The following is a 17,906-nucleotide window of genomic DNA, read 5'->3' on the forward strand; positions in this document are numbered from 1 at the left end:
TAATTGACCCTAAAACAGGGGCCTGACCTAATTGCAGGAGCCCTTTAGGACAGAGAGCTTTCTCCAGCTGGTTGCAGATGAAGAAGAAGAGGGTCAAAGCTTGAAAATGAAGGCAGCCACAGGGCAAGGCATGGGAGCAGCTTCTAGGCTCTGAGAGTGACTTCTGGATGGTGGCCAGCAAGGAAATGGGGACCTCAGTCCTACAACCACAAGGATCTGAATTGTGCCAATGAGTGTGGAAGCATATTCTTTCCCAGAGCCTCCAGACAAAAGACTCATCCCAGTTGCTCAACAACTTGATTTAAGCCTTGTGACACCCTGAGCAGAGAACCCAGGCACACCGTGCTAGACATCAGATCAACAGAACTGTGAACTGGCAAAAGAGTGTTGTTTTCAGCTGTTAAAGTGTGGTCAACCTTATGTGGCAATAGAAAACTATTACAACTGGTCATTCCAGTATCCGGCATTTACAAGGGACTCATTATATATTGCTTGAATTACAGGAATTATCAAATGACTTGGAATGTTTGTGTCTTGTTTGATATTGCCTGTAAATAGGAACAATAACCCTTTCTGAATGACAATGTTAGGATTAAATGAGATAATATATTGTAGCGTGTATAAAATTTAGTCCACAGACAATTTTTATTTCAAGCCCTCATTTTGCCAGTTTGCAGAAACTTAAACTCAGCCAGTTTTGGGGGAGGCGGGTAGGAGTGGTTATGGAGAAGCACCTTTGTGTTGGGGTAGACACAGGAGCACGTGGCCCTCCCCTGCCACATTGGTGCCTGCTGCGCCATACATTACCTGGCTGTGCCTGCTGGCCAGGCCACACTGGAATGTTACCACGTTCCTCTTGTTCCTGTCGGAAAGGCACCTGCAGGCCTAGAGATGTGGGTACTACATGTCCTTCACAGCCTACTCCCCCTGTGCACCCCTAGCTCATCCTCTGATATGGTTTGGCTGTGTCCCCACCCCAAATCTTATATTGAATTATAGTTCCTATAATCCCTACATGTGGTGGGAAGGAGCTGGTGGGAGGTAATGTAATCATGGGAGCATTTACCCTCATGCTGTTCTCGTGATAGTGAGTTCTCATGAGATCTGATGGTTTTATAAGGGGCTTTTCCTCCTTTTGCTTGGCACTTCTTGCTGCCACCGTGTGAAGAAAGACCTGTTTGCTTCCACTTCCACCATGATGTAACTTTCCTGAGGCCTCCCAAGCCATTCTGAACTGTGAGTCAATTCAACTTCTTTCCTTTATAAATTACCCAGTCTTAGGTATGTCTTAATAGTGTGAGAACAGACTAATACATGTGGGCCATACAAGTCTGCTACTGCTGCCTCGGGGGCAAGAGGCCTTCGTTCTCAAATGCCTCTAGTTTATGTAGGTATCTGTTCTGGTGGATCTTGGAGAGGATGGGGGTATAGTTGTGGGGCTCCTCCGAGCACCCACAAACCCCTTTTCTTCTTGCTTCCTTTCACCACTCAGGCTCAAAGTTGGGAAGCTCTGCCCTTGTTCTTCACACTTTTTCCCGATTGCCTTCAGGGACTGGATTTTTGAAACAGAAGTTTTGTTTTTGGTGTGTCAACTCTCCTCTAGGCAGACTTCTGAGTGGAGAGAGAGGAAAAACATCAGCAATGTCTTGAAGATATTAATCCCACTACAATTGCCAACCTGTAGGGCACAACGCTAGCATCCAGCTGGTGCTGGTGACTTGAGGCTCCTGCTTCTCCCCGGTCCCCTTCCCATCTGAATTTCTTTCTAGATCTAACATTGTTTGTTTCTCCTCATCAGTTTGTCTTTCCCTCCTAGGTTCCTCTTCCGGCGGGCTTCCCCTCCCTCCTTCCCGTCCTGCCTGGTGGCTCCCACATGAAGTCTGCACAGGATTCACACAAGAATACAGGTCAGCTGGGAAATTCTTCTCTCCACTGGGCCCCAGTGCCATTGCCATCTTTTTTGACTTAACCATCCATCTTGTATAATTACTGCTGAACCCTGGGCTCAAGTTCTCTTGTGGGTCCCTGAATAAATCTGAACAAAGCCCCAAGGAAGAATACTAATCTCAAGATGAGTCGAACCCAATTGCCTTTGCAGAGGGCATCAACCTGTTAATGTCATTTTGCTTCTCTCAGAATGAATGATCCCAGTTACAATCCAATTGTTCAGCTGAGAACAAAACTGTTCTCAGTCCTTGCAGTTTTGTTCTGTGGGAAGCCATGGGCTTCCCTGGCTGGGTACCACTTCTTCAAGACTTCATTTGTGACTCTAATCTTTCCTCTTCAGAATTCTGAAATACTGAGACCTGAATTTTATACATAGCACAGGTTAAATTTGAAAGACTAAATTAATTTCTTTGAAGATTATTCTTCAAGGATTGCTCTATACTCAGCAAATCTTCCAACTTGGTCTTCAAGCCTAGTATGGGTTTCCTAGCTAATGAAGTGGACAGGCACCCAAGCAGCAGCATTTCAAGCAGCAGGAGTGGGAGGGTAGCAGAAGTAATGGGTCTGAACATTTATCTCCACGGAAGAAAGCCCATGTTACCACCATGAGACACTGAAGTGGGTTAGAAACAAGTATACACAGAGCTTTATTGTTTATAAGGGGGGGTCCCTATATGCTGTTTTGTGTGTTTACTCTGACATTTGTACAGTTTCTACAAAGCTCTAGAAAGAATTATGAGCCAGGGCCAGGGCCTGAGCCCTTAGCTCTGCCACTGTTAAGTTCCTAATGGGATTTGAGAGCTTGGGTCTTAATCCCAAGATAATAAGGAACCTGTCCTTCTCCTGTCAGGCCGCACCTGGGAGAAGGTGGTAGTTGCTGGGTCATGCCCCTCTGTACAGCCTTGAAATCTTTTGATGTTCCTTTCAGGACCCCTTATGTTCTCCAGAGATGACCAGTCATCTGGCAAAAGCATGAGGGCCAGGAGCCTGGCCAGAGTGACCCCCTGACCCACCTGCCCTCAGGAAACCATTGACGATGTCCTATCTCCCTCCTCACAGTTCACCCTGGCCACATGCTATGAGTCAGCAATGGAAAAAACAGGATAAAGAAGCCAGGATTCTTTCTAACAGCTGTAGGATGGTCTCACCCAGCAGCAGGTCTGACCCTCCTGCTTCGGCTCCTGACAGCCAAGGGACACATTCCAGGAACACAATGGGGTGGAGATAAATGTGCTCAAAGGCTCCTGAGGCTATGGAGGGAGCTGGCCAAGCTCACCAGAGTGCATTCATCACAATCCTCTTCTGCCTGCCCTCACTCCCAGCAGAATCTCCTCAGCGGCTACCTCTTCCACGGCAGCTTTCAGGAATGGTGGCTGGAGCCGTGGGCCTCCAACCAAGGGTGTAAGTGAATCCTGGCCCAGACAGATTTGGAAACCCTAACTGCACGCCTACCATACCATGACTGAGTAGCTCCATTGCCTGAGGCCTTGCACAGATGCTGGTATTGGCATTCCAGCACCCCAAAATGATTTGTTCAGCAGGCACCCTGAGTCAGCTGGTGTCAGCTAGAAACTGAAGTCCTCTTCAGTCTGCTTGACCCAGAGGGGAGAAACAACTCAGCTCAACCTGGCCATTTTCTTTCTTATTCAAACCTTTCTCCTTCCTCTCAGATGCCTCTACGGGTATAGAAACCCAAGTGTTACTACAGCTTTTTGGTTTATTGGCTTTGAGTTTGATGCTTCTACCTTCCAATTAGACGTTAACATCTTCCTTGACAATTTGATTTTTCCTTGCTGGTTATATTGTTCTAAGGTGCTTTACTTACCCCTAGAACAGTGTATTCATATCTAGTTTTCTGTGTAAAACTTCTCCAACAGCATGAGGCTTCACACTTATGCTGCCCTCAGATATTCCTGCCCATTCCCGTTGTTTTGGGGGTGGATGGCTGCTGTTGAAGAGTCTTTTGGAATTGTTGAGCTGCCTTAATATTACCACTGCCTTCTTACCCAAAGTGATCTCAAAACATTCATGGGAGATTGTTGATTCTCCTCCTTTTGGTTCTCTGAGAAATGGCAATGTGACAGTCTCAGCCCAGAAAGGCATCCGGTATTTGTGTGGCTGCAAACCCCTGCCTCACCCAAGCAGACAGTGATTCCAATAAAGGGAGACTCACTTGCGTTACTTCCCAGGGGTGTGAAAGCCATGGGAACAGGCTGCCATGAGAAGGGGCCTGCAGCAGAGCTGGAAACAGGCGTTAGATCTAAGGCGGAACATAGACACTCAAGTTGCTCTGCCAGGACCCTGGATGGTCCCATTCATCACAGGAGATGGATTTTTAATATCTATTGCTCAGCTCCCACAAGAACCTTGTCTGAGACAGTGCACTCACTATCAGCAGAAAATAAAGCAGCAGCGAATGGGAAAAGGTTTTGCTCCGTAAGAGCCAAACACTGTTCAGGATATGCACAAATAATCCAAGCTTGTTTGAAGCAATAATTTCAAGGGCTTCTCCTACTTTTGACTGTACAAACAGATGAGGGAAAGGACAGAGGTCATAAAAAGCAAGAGCACTGAGAATATTAGGTCTTAGTCATCCATTTAGGAGAGACTGGGAGTCAGGAAGTGATCTGCAAAATGCCTGGAAATGGCTGCAGACAGTTGAGCAGTAAGATGGCATATGAACTCCTGGAGGAGTGGAGGGAATGAAACTTTGGGCTTGCAGAACACCTGGCCTTCTTTGAACACCTCCCGGCTCTGAAACTCAGGATGTACCACTGATTCTACTCTGGTCCCCAAAATAACTACAACCTGAGCCAATGAGATTATCCCCCAGGCATGCTATAAAGAGTCTGTGGGTAAACACTGAAGACATGATAGCCAACCAGTACCTCTTGACTTTTGCAGGGTGAATGACCCCACACATAGCTTAGTTTCCCTTCATTTCTCCTTCTCCTCCCCTCTACTCCTCCATTTCCCTTGTAGTGCTGCTAATGATGGTATAGTTCGCCATCAGTTGGTAAGGTTGATTTGCAAACTCAGCCCTCAGGAGATTCATCTCCTCACACCCATGGCCTGTCTCCCCCAGGTGCTCTGTTCCAGCATAGAATGCCTTGGGATGATGTGTTTTTGCTTCAGGTGCCCACGAATGCAGAATGCATCCTAACTCAAAATGCATTGAGTGTCTTAAGCACTAACTTCAGTGGAGACTCTCTTCCCCACCTCCCACCCCCGTATCCCCTGCCAGGGACGGATACTAGTCCCCAAACCACATAGTCTCAGTGTCAGTTTTCTGTCTGTGGTCTTGGGAAAAAGTCTATGCTGCTATTTCTCATTTGTTTTGTAAAGCAACCTTTCTTGGGAGTTCTAAGAGTGAATTTGACATTGGGCAGACCATCATCACTCTGAAGCAGTACAGTGCAACCACCTTGCACTGCCGCCTCCCTGGTGTGACTAGGACGTGGTTTCAGAAACTGCAAATGTGGTGGCATAAACAAGGTAGAAGTTTACTTTCTCACATACAAGTCTGGAATTAGGTAAGCCAGAGTTTGTGTGGGGGTCTCAGCCAAGTAGGGCCCAAGGCTCATTCTGTCTTGCTACTCTGCTACGTATGGCTTCCATCCCCAGGGCCACCAATCAAGCTGTCGTGTTCACATTTCAGTCCCAAGGAAGAAACGTGGGGATCGTGAATGCCCTCTCCTGTGAAGATGCTTCTCAGAAATGATGTGCACCTCATGCCTCTGCCCACATCTCTGTGGGGGAACTTTGTCACAAGGCCACAGCAGCTTCAAGAGGGTGGGAAATACAATCTTTTCTTCTGGGGAATCCTCTGCCTAGCTTAAAAAAAAGTATGGAGGGAATTCTATTATAGAATAAGGATGAGCGGATATTTTTTAGAACATTCAATAGTGTCTGCAACACACCATTTCTTCCATTCCCCACAACATACATGTTTTTATATTATCACATTAAATTATCTTTAATCATTATTGTGCGCAAATCCAATCCATCCCAGAGGCTGCATACAGACTCCAAAGCTTCTAAATTGGATCAGAATCTCTTGAAATTTCCCCCAGTGTCTAGCATTGCATTTCCCACTGAAACCCACTAGCTTTTCTTTATCAGATAACAGTACTAGCAGTCTAGTTCATAATATCTTGACTCAGATAGCAGATACACACACACAGGCTCCTGAATTTCTTTTCATTCATTCAAGAAAAAAGAAAGATATAACCAAAGATGTGGTTTGTTGCTAGAATGCCTGTGGTTTTCTTTTTTAACCAGAAGGTAGTCATTTTCCAATCTCTTGTTTAAGAAGAGACAGAGGGCCTTCCTCTAAACAAGAATTACCAGAGCTGTGTGCCTTGTGACACATTTGGGCTGTCTAAAAACAGTACTGACTTATTCTTTTTAAGGGAAACTGCTTTTTAATCATAAAAGTAACAGTATAGATAGAACATGGGGAAAATGGTTAAAAGAAAAATATGAAATATGTATTATCTATAAGCCCATTAGTCTGATACAGGTACTCCTGTCACTAGGAAAATCTTTTCAAATGGGAATAATTTTATAAAACATACATATATCTTTGACATTATTTCTTAACATTTTTTATATTTCTACATTAGTTTTCAGTGAGGCCATTATTTAATAACAACATAATGGAGCCAGTATATCATAATTGATGTAACTGTTCTCTGTTACTGGATGCAACGTAGGTTGCATCCAGTTCTCTTCCTTTGAGATAACAATAGGCATCTTTATAAAGATTCATTGTATATTTTGAATTATAGGGATTCAGAGTTTTGTTTTTTAAACAGGTATTTTTAAACTAATCTGTCTTTATTATATAATACACTGACAACTTTAAAAACCACTAATTATAGAGTAGGGCATAAGATGATCTCTTCCCAGTGTTATCTTTCTGTTCTTATTCCTCTATTGACCTTTCATCATAACTTTAAACAATGTTTATATGACTTTAAATATCTACAGCTGATGGCTCCTGAATTTACATCATCCTCTTGAAGATTCTGTGTGCATAAGGCCCAGTGGATTTGTTTTGATTTCCTGCTCTAGTTTTCTTCACGTGCCTTGCCTCATATTCCACTCTCTCCATCTAGTTTCCAATGCCATTAATCTTCTAGACTTCTTGTGTTTTTTGTGAGGGAGGGATAACACCTCAAATAGTGTTTTCAAATTACTGCATGGGGGAAGGGGTAGACTTCACAAGTGCTTTCATGTTAAAACATGCACACCTTCCCATCCAGCTCATATACACACACTCTTGATTGATACTTTGGCCGGGCATAAAACTCTAGGACTAAATTCATTTTTCCTCAGGACTCTAAAGACAGTCTTGTAAAGACACATCTAACATTGGTGCTGAAAACTGACCTAACAGTCTGACTCTTTTTTCTTAAGATCCAAGAGACTCACTTGACAGCAGAGTTTCTTAAGCTTAGCATTATTGACATTTTGGGCCCAATGGTTCTTTGTTGTGGGAGTCTGTCCCACACATTGTGGGATGTTTACCACCACCCTGTCCTCAGCCCATTAGAGGCCAAGAGCACCTCTTCCACTGTGACAACCAAAATGTCTCCAGACGTTGTCAGATCATCCCTGGGGGGTAAAATTGCCCTCAGTTGAGAACCACTGCTGTATAGCAAAGGGAAACCAGCTGGGGCTATGGTAGGCTCAATAATGGTCCCCCAAACATGGCCACACCCTAATCCCTGGGGCCTGTAATATGTTACCTTAAGTTAAGGATTATGAGATGGGAAGATTATTCTGGATTATGCAGTGGGCCCAGTGTAACTACAGGGCTCCTTATAAGAGGGATGGCAATGGGATGATGAAAGCAGAGGACAGAGAGAAACAGTCCTGCAGATGCTATGTTGCCAGCTTTGGAGAGGGAGGAACAGCACAAGCCAAGTGAGGCAGGCAGCTCCTGCAGGCTGGAAAGAGCAAGGATTCTCCCCTGGAACCTCCAGAAGGGACAATAGCCATGAGGAGTCATTGTAGACTTCTGACTTCCAGAACTGTAAGGTAATAAATTCGTGTTGTTTTGAGCCATTGTGTTTGTGTTAATTCATTATGATGGCAATAGAAAAACGCACATAGGGTCTACAACCGAAACAGCTACTGGTTGTATCAACATGCTACCTGCCCAAGATACCTGCTCAAAGGCAATATTCTGCAGAATGCAGTACTGTCCATCCAGCATGAAGTATGTGAATTGAACCAAAGATTTTATATGGTTCTCTGCCCCCAATAGCAAGACTATATAGGTTGAGGAACCAAGAGGTAGAAATAGGAATGTTCCCACCAACCATCACCCCTCATAACTTGGAAATTTGTACTTCTCCTTCCTGCAATTCTGGGTTCTGCAGGGTAGTAAGTTCTAGTCCCCAAAGGGGCATGCTTTGTCTGGAGAGCATGAAAAGAGTCCCATCGAAATATTAACTACAGCTGCCACTTGGGTATTTTGTATTCCTTGTATGCAGGGGCCAGCAAGCACACACACACAAAAAAGAGTCACTGTCTTGGCAGGGATAATTGACCCTATTATCAGCGGAGAGCAGGGTTCCTGTAATATATGGCAGGAGAGAGAAATTCCTGTGGATCCCACGTGATTCTCTCAGGCACCTCTTTGTACTGTATTCAACTGTGAGTTCAAATGGACAAGTAGAGCAGCCCTCCCCTGAGAAGAGCAGGGTTTCCAGCATGAAGATTGGAATTGTCCCACCTGTAAGCCCTGAGGCCAGTGGAGGTGGTGTATACATCTGAGATTGTGAAGAACTCTGAACAGAAGAGAGTATTGGTGAGTATACATTGTGTCCCCAAGACCAACTGCAGCAGTGAGGGTACATCTGTTCAGCTAACCTGTTTTCCCTCAGGAAAAGAGGCCCACTAGGGTCCTGCTGTCTGGATTTGTATAGAGTGAACCCAGGTGGCCCAAGGAGTAGCCTGTGGCAGACATTGAGATGAGCCAACCAGAGCTCCCATCAGGAAAGGACCTGCTGCCAAGCCATGGGGACTGTAGTAGGCAGACAGCTCCAGCTGTTTGTGTCTTCCAGATCTACTGCAGCTACAGAGGGGGCCACCTCTCCAGAGGTTACATCCTCCTCCTCCTGTGTAGCTCTTAGCCAGTAACTGAATGAGGCAAGGGTACTGAGGCCTGCCTACAGCCCAGCATGGACAGTCTGATAGATGACACAGTGGGGCCAGGGAATAGGATGAGAGGCCCAAGTGCATCACGTGGGTTCTACATGCATTCCTTCCTAATCCACTGGGAGTTCAACTTCTTCCTCAGCCCAATTGTGCTCCTGACCCCTTTCCTTTTCTTCAGATATTGATGCTTAATAAACATCTCGTATCTCAAACTCCAACTGCATCTGCTTCCAGAGAACCCAGCCTGTAACAAAAACATGGGTCCACAACAAGAAAGTTCATGGCAACCTATTCTTAACATTCAAAATCTGAAAACAACTCCAATATCCATGAACAAGTCATGATAAACCAATTGTGGCATATTCATAAAACTGAATACTACTCAGCAATAAAGTGAAACAACTGCTGATATGTGCAGCAGCATGGATGAATTTCAAAAACATTTTCAACATGAAAATGAGCAAAACGTGCAAGACACAAAAAGTACATATTGCATAAATTCATTTATATGAAGTCAGATGACAGGAAAAATTAATCTATGGGGATAGAAGCCATAAAGTGGTTGCCTGTGTATGTGCCAGGGGGGTGGGGTAGGAATTGACTAGAACAAGAGGCCCCAGACAACTTTCTAAGGGGTTCTAGATCTCATTTTACATGGTGGTTACATGGCTATATACTGTTTCCAAAACTCATTGAAAAGTTAGTATCTGTGGATCTTACTGTATGTAATTTGTGCCTCAAGTATAAATACATTAAGTAGACCTGGGAATACTGAATTACAAATATATACTTAACATATGGCTGTAAAAGAAACAGATCAATGGAATTTAAGAAATTATGATTTAATAACAGAGATAGTCATGATGGTGTTATAGCACAGATGAGGGTCTTTATTTAATCCATGGTGATAGCAGAGAGTTACAGAGCTGCAAGGTGACATTTGAGCTGGGTATGAAAGGAGAAGAGGGAGATAGCCGGGCAGAAACTGGAAGACCATGTTCCTGAGAGGAGGAACACAGCAAAAACACAGAGTCCTGAAATCAAATATCACACCCAGGAGACTGAGCAGAGTGTGTGATGGGGGCCTGATGGGGCGGAGGCCATGAAATGAGATGGACAAGGAGAAAGGGCCAAATCTCAGAGAGGGTCCTGCAATCTAGGACAAGGAAACTTAGAATTTGTCCTATCAGTTCTAGGGAATATGTTCATTAGCACTTTGTGGTTGCAGATAACAGCAAAATCATCACCCGCTTTCTCTCCTTCTTTCTTCTCCCTCAGCCCATATTTCCTTGGTCTTGGGGTCTTTCTCAGACAGTTGATCCTCAAGGGATGGATCACTCATAGCTCCAGTGAAAATCCCAGAAGAAAAACTGGATTCACCCTGGTGGGGTTGGCAGGGCATCCCTGAGCCAGCCAGTGGGGATGGAGTAAACTGGGACAGGCCTGGTCACGATGCCCACCCCTTGAGTTGGGAAGGGGGTGGCAGATAATTCCTCAAAGTGAAACTGAGGGGCAAAAAACATATTTACTCTATAGGGAACTACTGAAGGGATGTATAACTGATGGTTTTAGAAGGATGGTCACTGTCAAGAGTGTAGAAAGTGGATGGGATGGGGGAAATGGCAGCTAGAAAGATGGGTTTGAGTCTTGTGAAGTCCAGGTATGAACTGGAGAGGGCCGTGAGGCTAGAGGAGAGATGTCACACTGAAGAGGTGTGTAGGAAGAAGAATAAGCATGCTGCAAAAGCTACTTGCGCATGGGGAGGAGGAGAGGGGCATCTAAGTGGACTGGCTGATTCTAGATTTGGGGAGGGTGGCCCGTTGCCACGGTACTGCGGCCAGAATGTCACCCAGCTTTCTGCAGCATTTTAAAGTAATAAAACACAAGGAGCAGAGAGAAAACACATCTGATAGAACAAAGAGAAGAGGATCAGAAGAGCCTGAGTTTTATTCCCTTCTCACATTCTTGTCAATGTTATAATATAAATATAAATTTTTTTAGCAAGAATAGTAGGGGGGACTCTAATTGAATCAGCATGTATTAATTATGCATTAGTGAAGATTATTCCACAATTCGTTGCAGTCCCGACAATCAGTTTTCAAGCAGGAGGCAAGTGTGGAATATGATGTCTCATGATAATATCTATTAAAGAAAGAGTCCTCAGCACCACTCTTATTAGAAATCTAATCAGGAATAAAGTACTTGACAAACTGTTAGGGGGCTGACAAACAGCCAGTTGCTGTGGCCAAACAGCATCATGGGCAGAGACTGACTCCAGGCCACAGTGGGCCATACAGCACCTGCAGCCTTGCCAAGGTCTGGAATGGAAAACTGGACATTTTTCCAGAAACACCTTCAACTTCTCTGTAACTCAGGTTTCTTATCTACAAGATGAGGTTAGTGATACCAGCCTTGCATGGTGGCCACATGCATTAAATAAGAGGATGCATGTAAATAGCTGGCCCTTGGGGATTCCCAGAAATGGGGTATTGCTTTTGGTTTTCTATTTTGGTGAAAGAGGAACTATTCCAAGGGCTTCTATTCTCCTTACCTAAAAATAAATCTTGCTGCACAGGACAGACAGCCAATAGAGAGATTCTGCCTGCTGCTGATTTTGTCTTTTCTTACTACACACCCAAGAGCCTTGATCAAAACAAGAACTTGGACCAAAACATCATTGTTTGTTGATCCCCACCTTTTGACTGGTAGACCACAGTGACCTTCTAAGAGTCAAAGACCAGTAATTCACTGAATGGCTGTACATTTCCTTCTTCCAGTGCATGGTTCTCTTGGTGAGTGGCTACAGGCCCTTGAGGAAAAGGCTGGGGGTGGGAAGGAAACCTACAGGATCCTTTTATCACTGGGTCCTTGCTCAGGAGTATGTCACACCTCTCTGCTCAGGAAGCTCTGGATCTGTGACCCATCTGAGCCCCGGGCACTGGTGGGGGACCTTGATCTATAAGCTTGGCTCCTCTTTGTGAGGCACAGAGCTTTTCCAGCTTCACAACCCACGCAGCACCTCCACGGGCTTCCCATCCATCTTAGTCCTAGGGATACTGGGACCTATCAGCTGCCAACAAAGGTCCCTGAAGGTCAAACATTCTATATGCCACCTGGCCACATACTCATGAGAGACCTCACCAGCTTTGCATCTAGCAGATAATTGCTGCTCCTTGGCCTCTACCACTCAGGAATCTAAATATCCACATTGAAACCATTAAATAGGCTTTTTCAATGGCAGCATCTCCCTTCTTTGTCCTGGCCCTCAGAGGACAGCCATCTCTATGCTTTTCCAAGATGTGGGCTGTCAGAGTTCAGGTTCCCTGGAAATGGAGCCAGAACACGGTTTATCTGTGAAAATCACTTACTGGGGCCTGCTCATGGGAGAAGGGGAGTGAGGGAAGCAGGACAGTGCAGGGGGGAGCTGGACACTCATTCCTACCTGGTCCCCAGAGTGCTGGAATGTGAATTGTGCCACAGAGCTGGTACCACTTTGAGGCAAGGGGGCCAGGTTAGAGACCTTGGGACAGTCTTTGGCCTCTGGTTGCCTAGAAACATGATTGGAGTGGCATGATCTCTGGTGAATGGCTCCTGTTTGGTGGAAGGGGATTCTGTGGAGAAGGCAATAGCACTCAAAACAGCTGGGCAATAGAAGCTCCCGCCTCATGAGGGGAATCTTGGCACAGCACCAGCAGTATCCACCATGGGAACATTCCCTTACCCATGCTGCATGCTGTGGTAAAAGAGAGCTGCATCCCTTACTCATGCTCCATGCTGTGGTGAAGGAGTGGACTCTGGTTCCTTCAAGGGACACAGAAGCACATGAGCTGGGAGCATGTGATAATGTGACTCCAATATTCTTTCCCATATCCTAAGTCTTTGGAGTCTCCCCCTGCATTACACCAAGGCATATGTATCATCTCATTGTTGCTTACTGTAGACCACTATGCCCAAAGAAGAGGAGAGGAGGAAGTGTTCCAGAAAGAGGAAACCAGGACTGTACAAAGACTCAGATCCAACACCGCATGGCAAGTTCAAGGACCTGGAAGACATTCGGCATGACCAGCTTGAAGAGAGGGACGGGGGAATGGGCAAAGATAAGGCTCGAGAAGTGGAGGCCATATCATACAGGGGCTGGAGGATGGTAAGGGGGTCAGACTTTATACAGAAGCACAGGGAGCCAGTCAAGGGTTCCAACCATGGAAACAACATGATTATACCTCATCTTCAGTAGTTTCATTCACTGCGAGTCAAGATTGGGAGTGAATTGAAGGAGAGCAAGAATGATCAAGGGGAAAGCAGTCTGGAGGCTGTCAGGGTCACCCAGACAGGAGATGATGGGTATTGACACAGGGAGCTGTCAGTGGAGAGGGAGAGAAGGCATTAGATCCAAGAGACTGAAAGGATGATCTTTTTCAAACTGTGGGTCTTGCCACATTAGTAGGCATGAAGTTTACTCAGTTGTGACTAGAATTTTAGTGAAATAGAATGAAATAAAACCTGAGAAGGCACCACATGTGGGAAGGGTAAGTATTGCTTCATACAGTATTTGTTTCAGGTATGTGTGTATCTGCACGTGTTTTATGGTATAAAGGGTCACAACATCAAACTTCTCCCTGTGGGTCACGGAAGGATTTCAAAGCTGCTGATGCGGAGGGAGCTCTATTGCACCTGATGGCTGATGGGATGTGAGGACTGAAGGAAGTCCAGGAGTGGCTCCCAGATCTCAGGGTCCCCCAACGTGGTGGCTGCATTCACTGAGGTAGGCACAGAAACTACTGGATAGGGAGGGGGGGATTAAGATCCCTTCATAATTGTGGATAGGCTAATAGGCAGAGGTTATATGTGGTATGGGGATAGAGGGTCCTTGGGAAACATGGTGCTTCCCCAAGGGGACTCTCTGCAGCCTGGCTCCTCCGCGGTATCTCCTGTCCTTCAAAAACAGGGTTGACTGCTCCTAGGCATTGAGCAAGGCCTCAGGACTGGCCTTTGACCCAGTTCCCTCCTGGGTCGTCCCCTAGTCTGGGGTGCTGACTGGCCCACACATGCATCACCCACTCTGCAAAGGTGGCTGTCGGCAGGATCAGTGCTGGAATTTCAGCCTCATATCTCATAGCCTGCTCCCGGGGTGATGGATGGCTTCTGCGCGGCTGGCCATTGATCCCAGTCATAGCCGAAGAGTAAAACAACCCTTGCCGCCGCATTTACATTGCGGGCTGACATGTGTCTGCAATGCGGCGCCGAGGCCCCCAGGGACTGCGCGTGGCCACCTTCTGCCGTGTCAGCGCACGGCTCAATTCCTCCTCCTCTAGCCTCTTTGTAAATGGCCTTTGTCAGCGTCTCCTAAAAGAAGCTACACTCTTCATCAATCAGAATAATGGTCTGTTGGAATGAAAGATTCCCCTTCCCAGCCAGCTGAAGAAAAAGGTTTCAGGCCTGAGCACTCCCTCTTCATCCTGGGGCAGCCACCAGCATGCTCCCAGGCCCGGCGCTGGGCTGTCTGCCCTTCAGAGCCCCACCCTTTCCCCTCCCACACACCAACCTGTTCCTGGTCTGGTGCCGCCTGCGGCCAAGGACTCATCTCCCACCAGATGGCATTTGGTCACTGAGCAGAATTCACATTTGGGTTTATTGTAGAGGGGTCACAACTGCCCAATTTCTAGTCATAATAAAAATGAAATCTCCATATGTGTTTAGTACTTTAGGTATTCATTTAGTCTCCGATTCTTTATACAATGTGCTGAACACCTCCTTTCTGGGGGCAGGAGATTTCCAAGACAGTTTCACATCTATTGTGTTGGAGAAGACGCAGTGTGAGGCGGGGAGCATAGCCCTAGGGCCAGGCTGCCCAGGATTCAGTTTTGCCTCTGCCACCGCTGGCCAGCTGTTCAGCCTCGGGCAAGTAAGTTGCTATCCTCAGTTTTTTCTTCTGTAAAACAAGGATTGTATGGGTAACTATCTCACAGAATTGGTAAGAGGATTAAATGAATAGATGTGGTGTACCTGAAACATGGGAGCACTGTGTAAGTGATACAAATCATCAGCATCAACAACAGCATCATTATCATTATTTGATTAAACCTGTTAAGAGAGGAAGATTAGGCCTGATTATGCCCATCTTATAGATGGAAGGACTGAGGCCCAAAGGCTTAAAGATGTGAAGTCTTTAACTCAGGGACCCAAAGTCGGCAATTAACACAGCCAGAAGTTAAACACAGGTGTCCTGACTCCAAGCCTAAGGTGTTTTCCACCCCAGTTATATAGTTCTATAGAAGGAAGAAGGTTCTTTTATCTGCATTATTTAAATTATAAAAAATCATACAGAATGTGCCGCCTCCCAGATAATTTAACCAGCCTCCTCTATGGACCATCTCCTCCTTATGGGCAGGATAAGTCATCCCCATCCCGAAATGAAAACTCCCTAGGGATCATTTCCAATGAAATTGCTTTCAAAGTCAGGGGTATGAGGGGAAGAGGATGGGTCACTGGCCTGAGGGCCACCACCCAGCCATTCCTGCAGCTCTGCTAGGCCACCTGAACAAGCATGCCCTGGAGAAGATAGGCTCCTAAAGTTGAGAATAGGTTCCCAGGTTGCTGGTGATACACAGCAAAGCACCGGTCCTTGTTTTCCTGCAACTTGTGCTGGTGCTGACTTCTAGCACTTCCATAAGGCAGGCTGCACTGCTCCACAGCCAGGGATACAAGTGGCTTGGATTCTGCCTTCTGTTCTGCTGGGGGTGGGAGGGCAGTGTGGAGCCAGGCGACTCGTTTGAATAGAGGGAACAGTTGAGCCAGGTTCACATAGGCATGAGGCGCCCATGCCCTCCCCACAAGGGATCTTCTCCCAGGTCTCATCATCCTGAACTTGGCCATTGTCACAGCCAGCCCAGCTCTGCCTTGCTGCACACCCTCACCCAGGCACCTGTGGCTGCCTCCCTTCCTCGCTAGACTGTGACACAGTTCCCCATATCCCAGCAGCCAGACCCAGCTCTCCAAGGGCTCTCCTTGGTTAGTACTTTTTGTTCTAAGCCTTGACCTGATGGCCCACCAGAGACAAGGAGACTGAGCCTCCCTTCACCCCACAGCCCTGGGCCAAATGGGCTTCCTCAACCCTCCAAGAAGAACAAGCCCCCTTCCTCAGGCCAGTTCCTATCCACACATGTGGCTCACAGAGCCAGTTTCTGCCTAACGCTTTCCCCTGCTACCATCGGCCATCCAATTCCCTTCCTGCCACCCCAAGTGACAGAGCTGACCAGTCTCTCCTAGCCCACCTCAGAGCATAATGTAGTTGATTGCCTTCTGAGATAGCTAGCAAAAATTCCTGGGCCTCTTTTTCTGGGGAGAGGGGAATGTCTGTGCAAACAGGGGAATGTTTGTGCCAAAATGTTAGCCTAAGGAGAGGAACGGCAGGAAGTATTGGGAGCTGGGGTGAAAGTGCTTGTGCATACCAGTCATCAACCTCCTGCCTTCCAAACCATTTTCACATAGCATTTCCTGAAAACATTTTCCTAGGAAATTTTATGTGCCATGCTTCTAGAATACTGAATGCATCAAAAGCAAAACCACCACCACCAAAGAAAGGAAAAAGGCATTTGCTTCCATTTATTGTCAATGCTGGGACATTCTCATTAAATACCTTATGGTGTGAAGGCCAGACCCATAGAGAGCAAGGGTTCCTTCCTGAGGCACTAAACACCCCAACAAATCTCAGGAGCTAATGTCCAAGCTGTTCAAGGTGAAAGGTGATGACCGTGAAGAGCACCACTGCAGTTTTGGAGGTGGCGTCGGTGGTGGCTGTGATAAGCAGAAGTAGGGGCATGGCTGCTGTCACAGCATTGTGCAACCACACACTCTGGAGAGGGCTGGATACTGAGAACATCTCCCTAACTACTGGCAAAATCACCACGTTGTGAGATTAAAAAAAAAAAAAATTGGACAAATGATGGTGTGGGGAAGGAAAACAGTAAGTACTGACTCAAGATTCATGAGCACCCAGAACGCTTTGGTCTAGGAATTTTATAGGTTCTCTCCCCTCTCCTGCCTTCTCTCCCAGTTGCATTCAAATAAGAAAGTCCTATGTGGAGCCAATTATTATCCTTGCAATATGTTTTGTTGTGGTTGGCAACAAAACAACTTAGTCATATTCCCCCAGATTTACCTTCTTTTTATTACTTTTCTTCCACTTTCTCCATCTCAACTCTCCCATTGGAATAAAATGTTATTGTTTTAGGTTTTATCAGACTCAGAGCCTCTGCTCTCAGTCAAACCAATTCTGTTTTCATGCGATGAGATAGAAGTCACAAAGACAGATGTGGGCAGAGAGCTCACCACGCTCTTCATTCGCTGTCAAATACAATTTAATGCCCAGGGAGCACCCACACTGCTCTTGCTCCCTGCCAAGAGGGGGGTTCTTTACTCATCGAATCAGCACTGGCCCTGATGGTGTTGCTTCTACAGCAGTGGGTGGTGGGAGGGAGAGACTGGAGGCTCACGGGGCCCAGACACCTCCTCCTAGTTTCCTCAAGTCCCAAGCTGCAGGCTGGGTTCCATATCCAGTTTCAAAACTCTAACTTCTTTGGGACATCTAAGGGCAGGTTTTTCCTATTGTTTACTAGAAACCTAAGAAGTCAGTACTCGTAATTTCCAACCCGGAGGCACTGAGTGGGGAATCTGCAGAGCCTACCTATTCTTCTCCCATTCTACAGACAGGGAGCCTCATCTGGGAAGAGGGCTCACGGACCTGGGTGTGTTTTGCTTCAGGACGAGAGAGAATTCCCAGTACATACATC

At 46.3% G+C, this 17,906-nt stretch overlaps 1 long non-coding RNA gene across 1 annotated transcript in view; it reads right to left on the minus strand.

The window, feature by feature from the left end:
* Positions 1–626: 626 nt before the first annotated feature.
* Positions 627–17,906, minus strand: part of LOC285638 (uncharacterized) — an 89,236-nt gene continuing 71,956 nt past the window's right edge. The window contains exon 4 of the long non-coding RNA NR_149040.1: positions 627–1,611. This is a non-coding gene — a long non-coding RNA (uncharacterized LOC285638). The remainder of the gene's footprint in view (positions 1,612–17,906) is intronic.

Source organism: Homo sapiens, chromosome 5 (genome assembly GCF_000001405.40).
Source record: "Homo sapiens chromosome 5, GRCh38.p14 Primary Assembly".
NCBI lineage: Eukaryota > Metazoa > Chordata > Mammalia > Primates > Hominidae > Homo > Homo sapiens.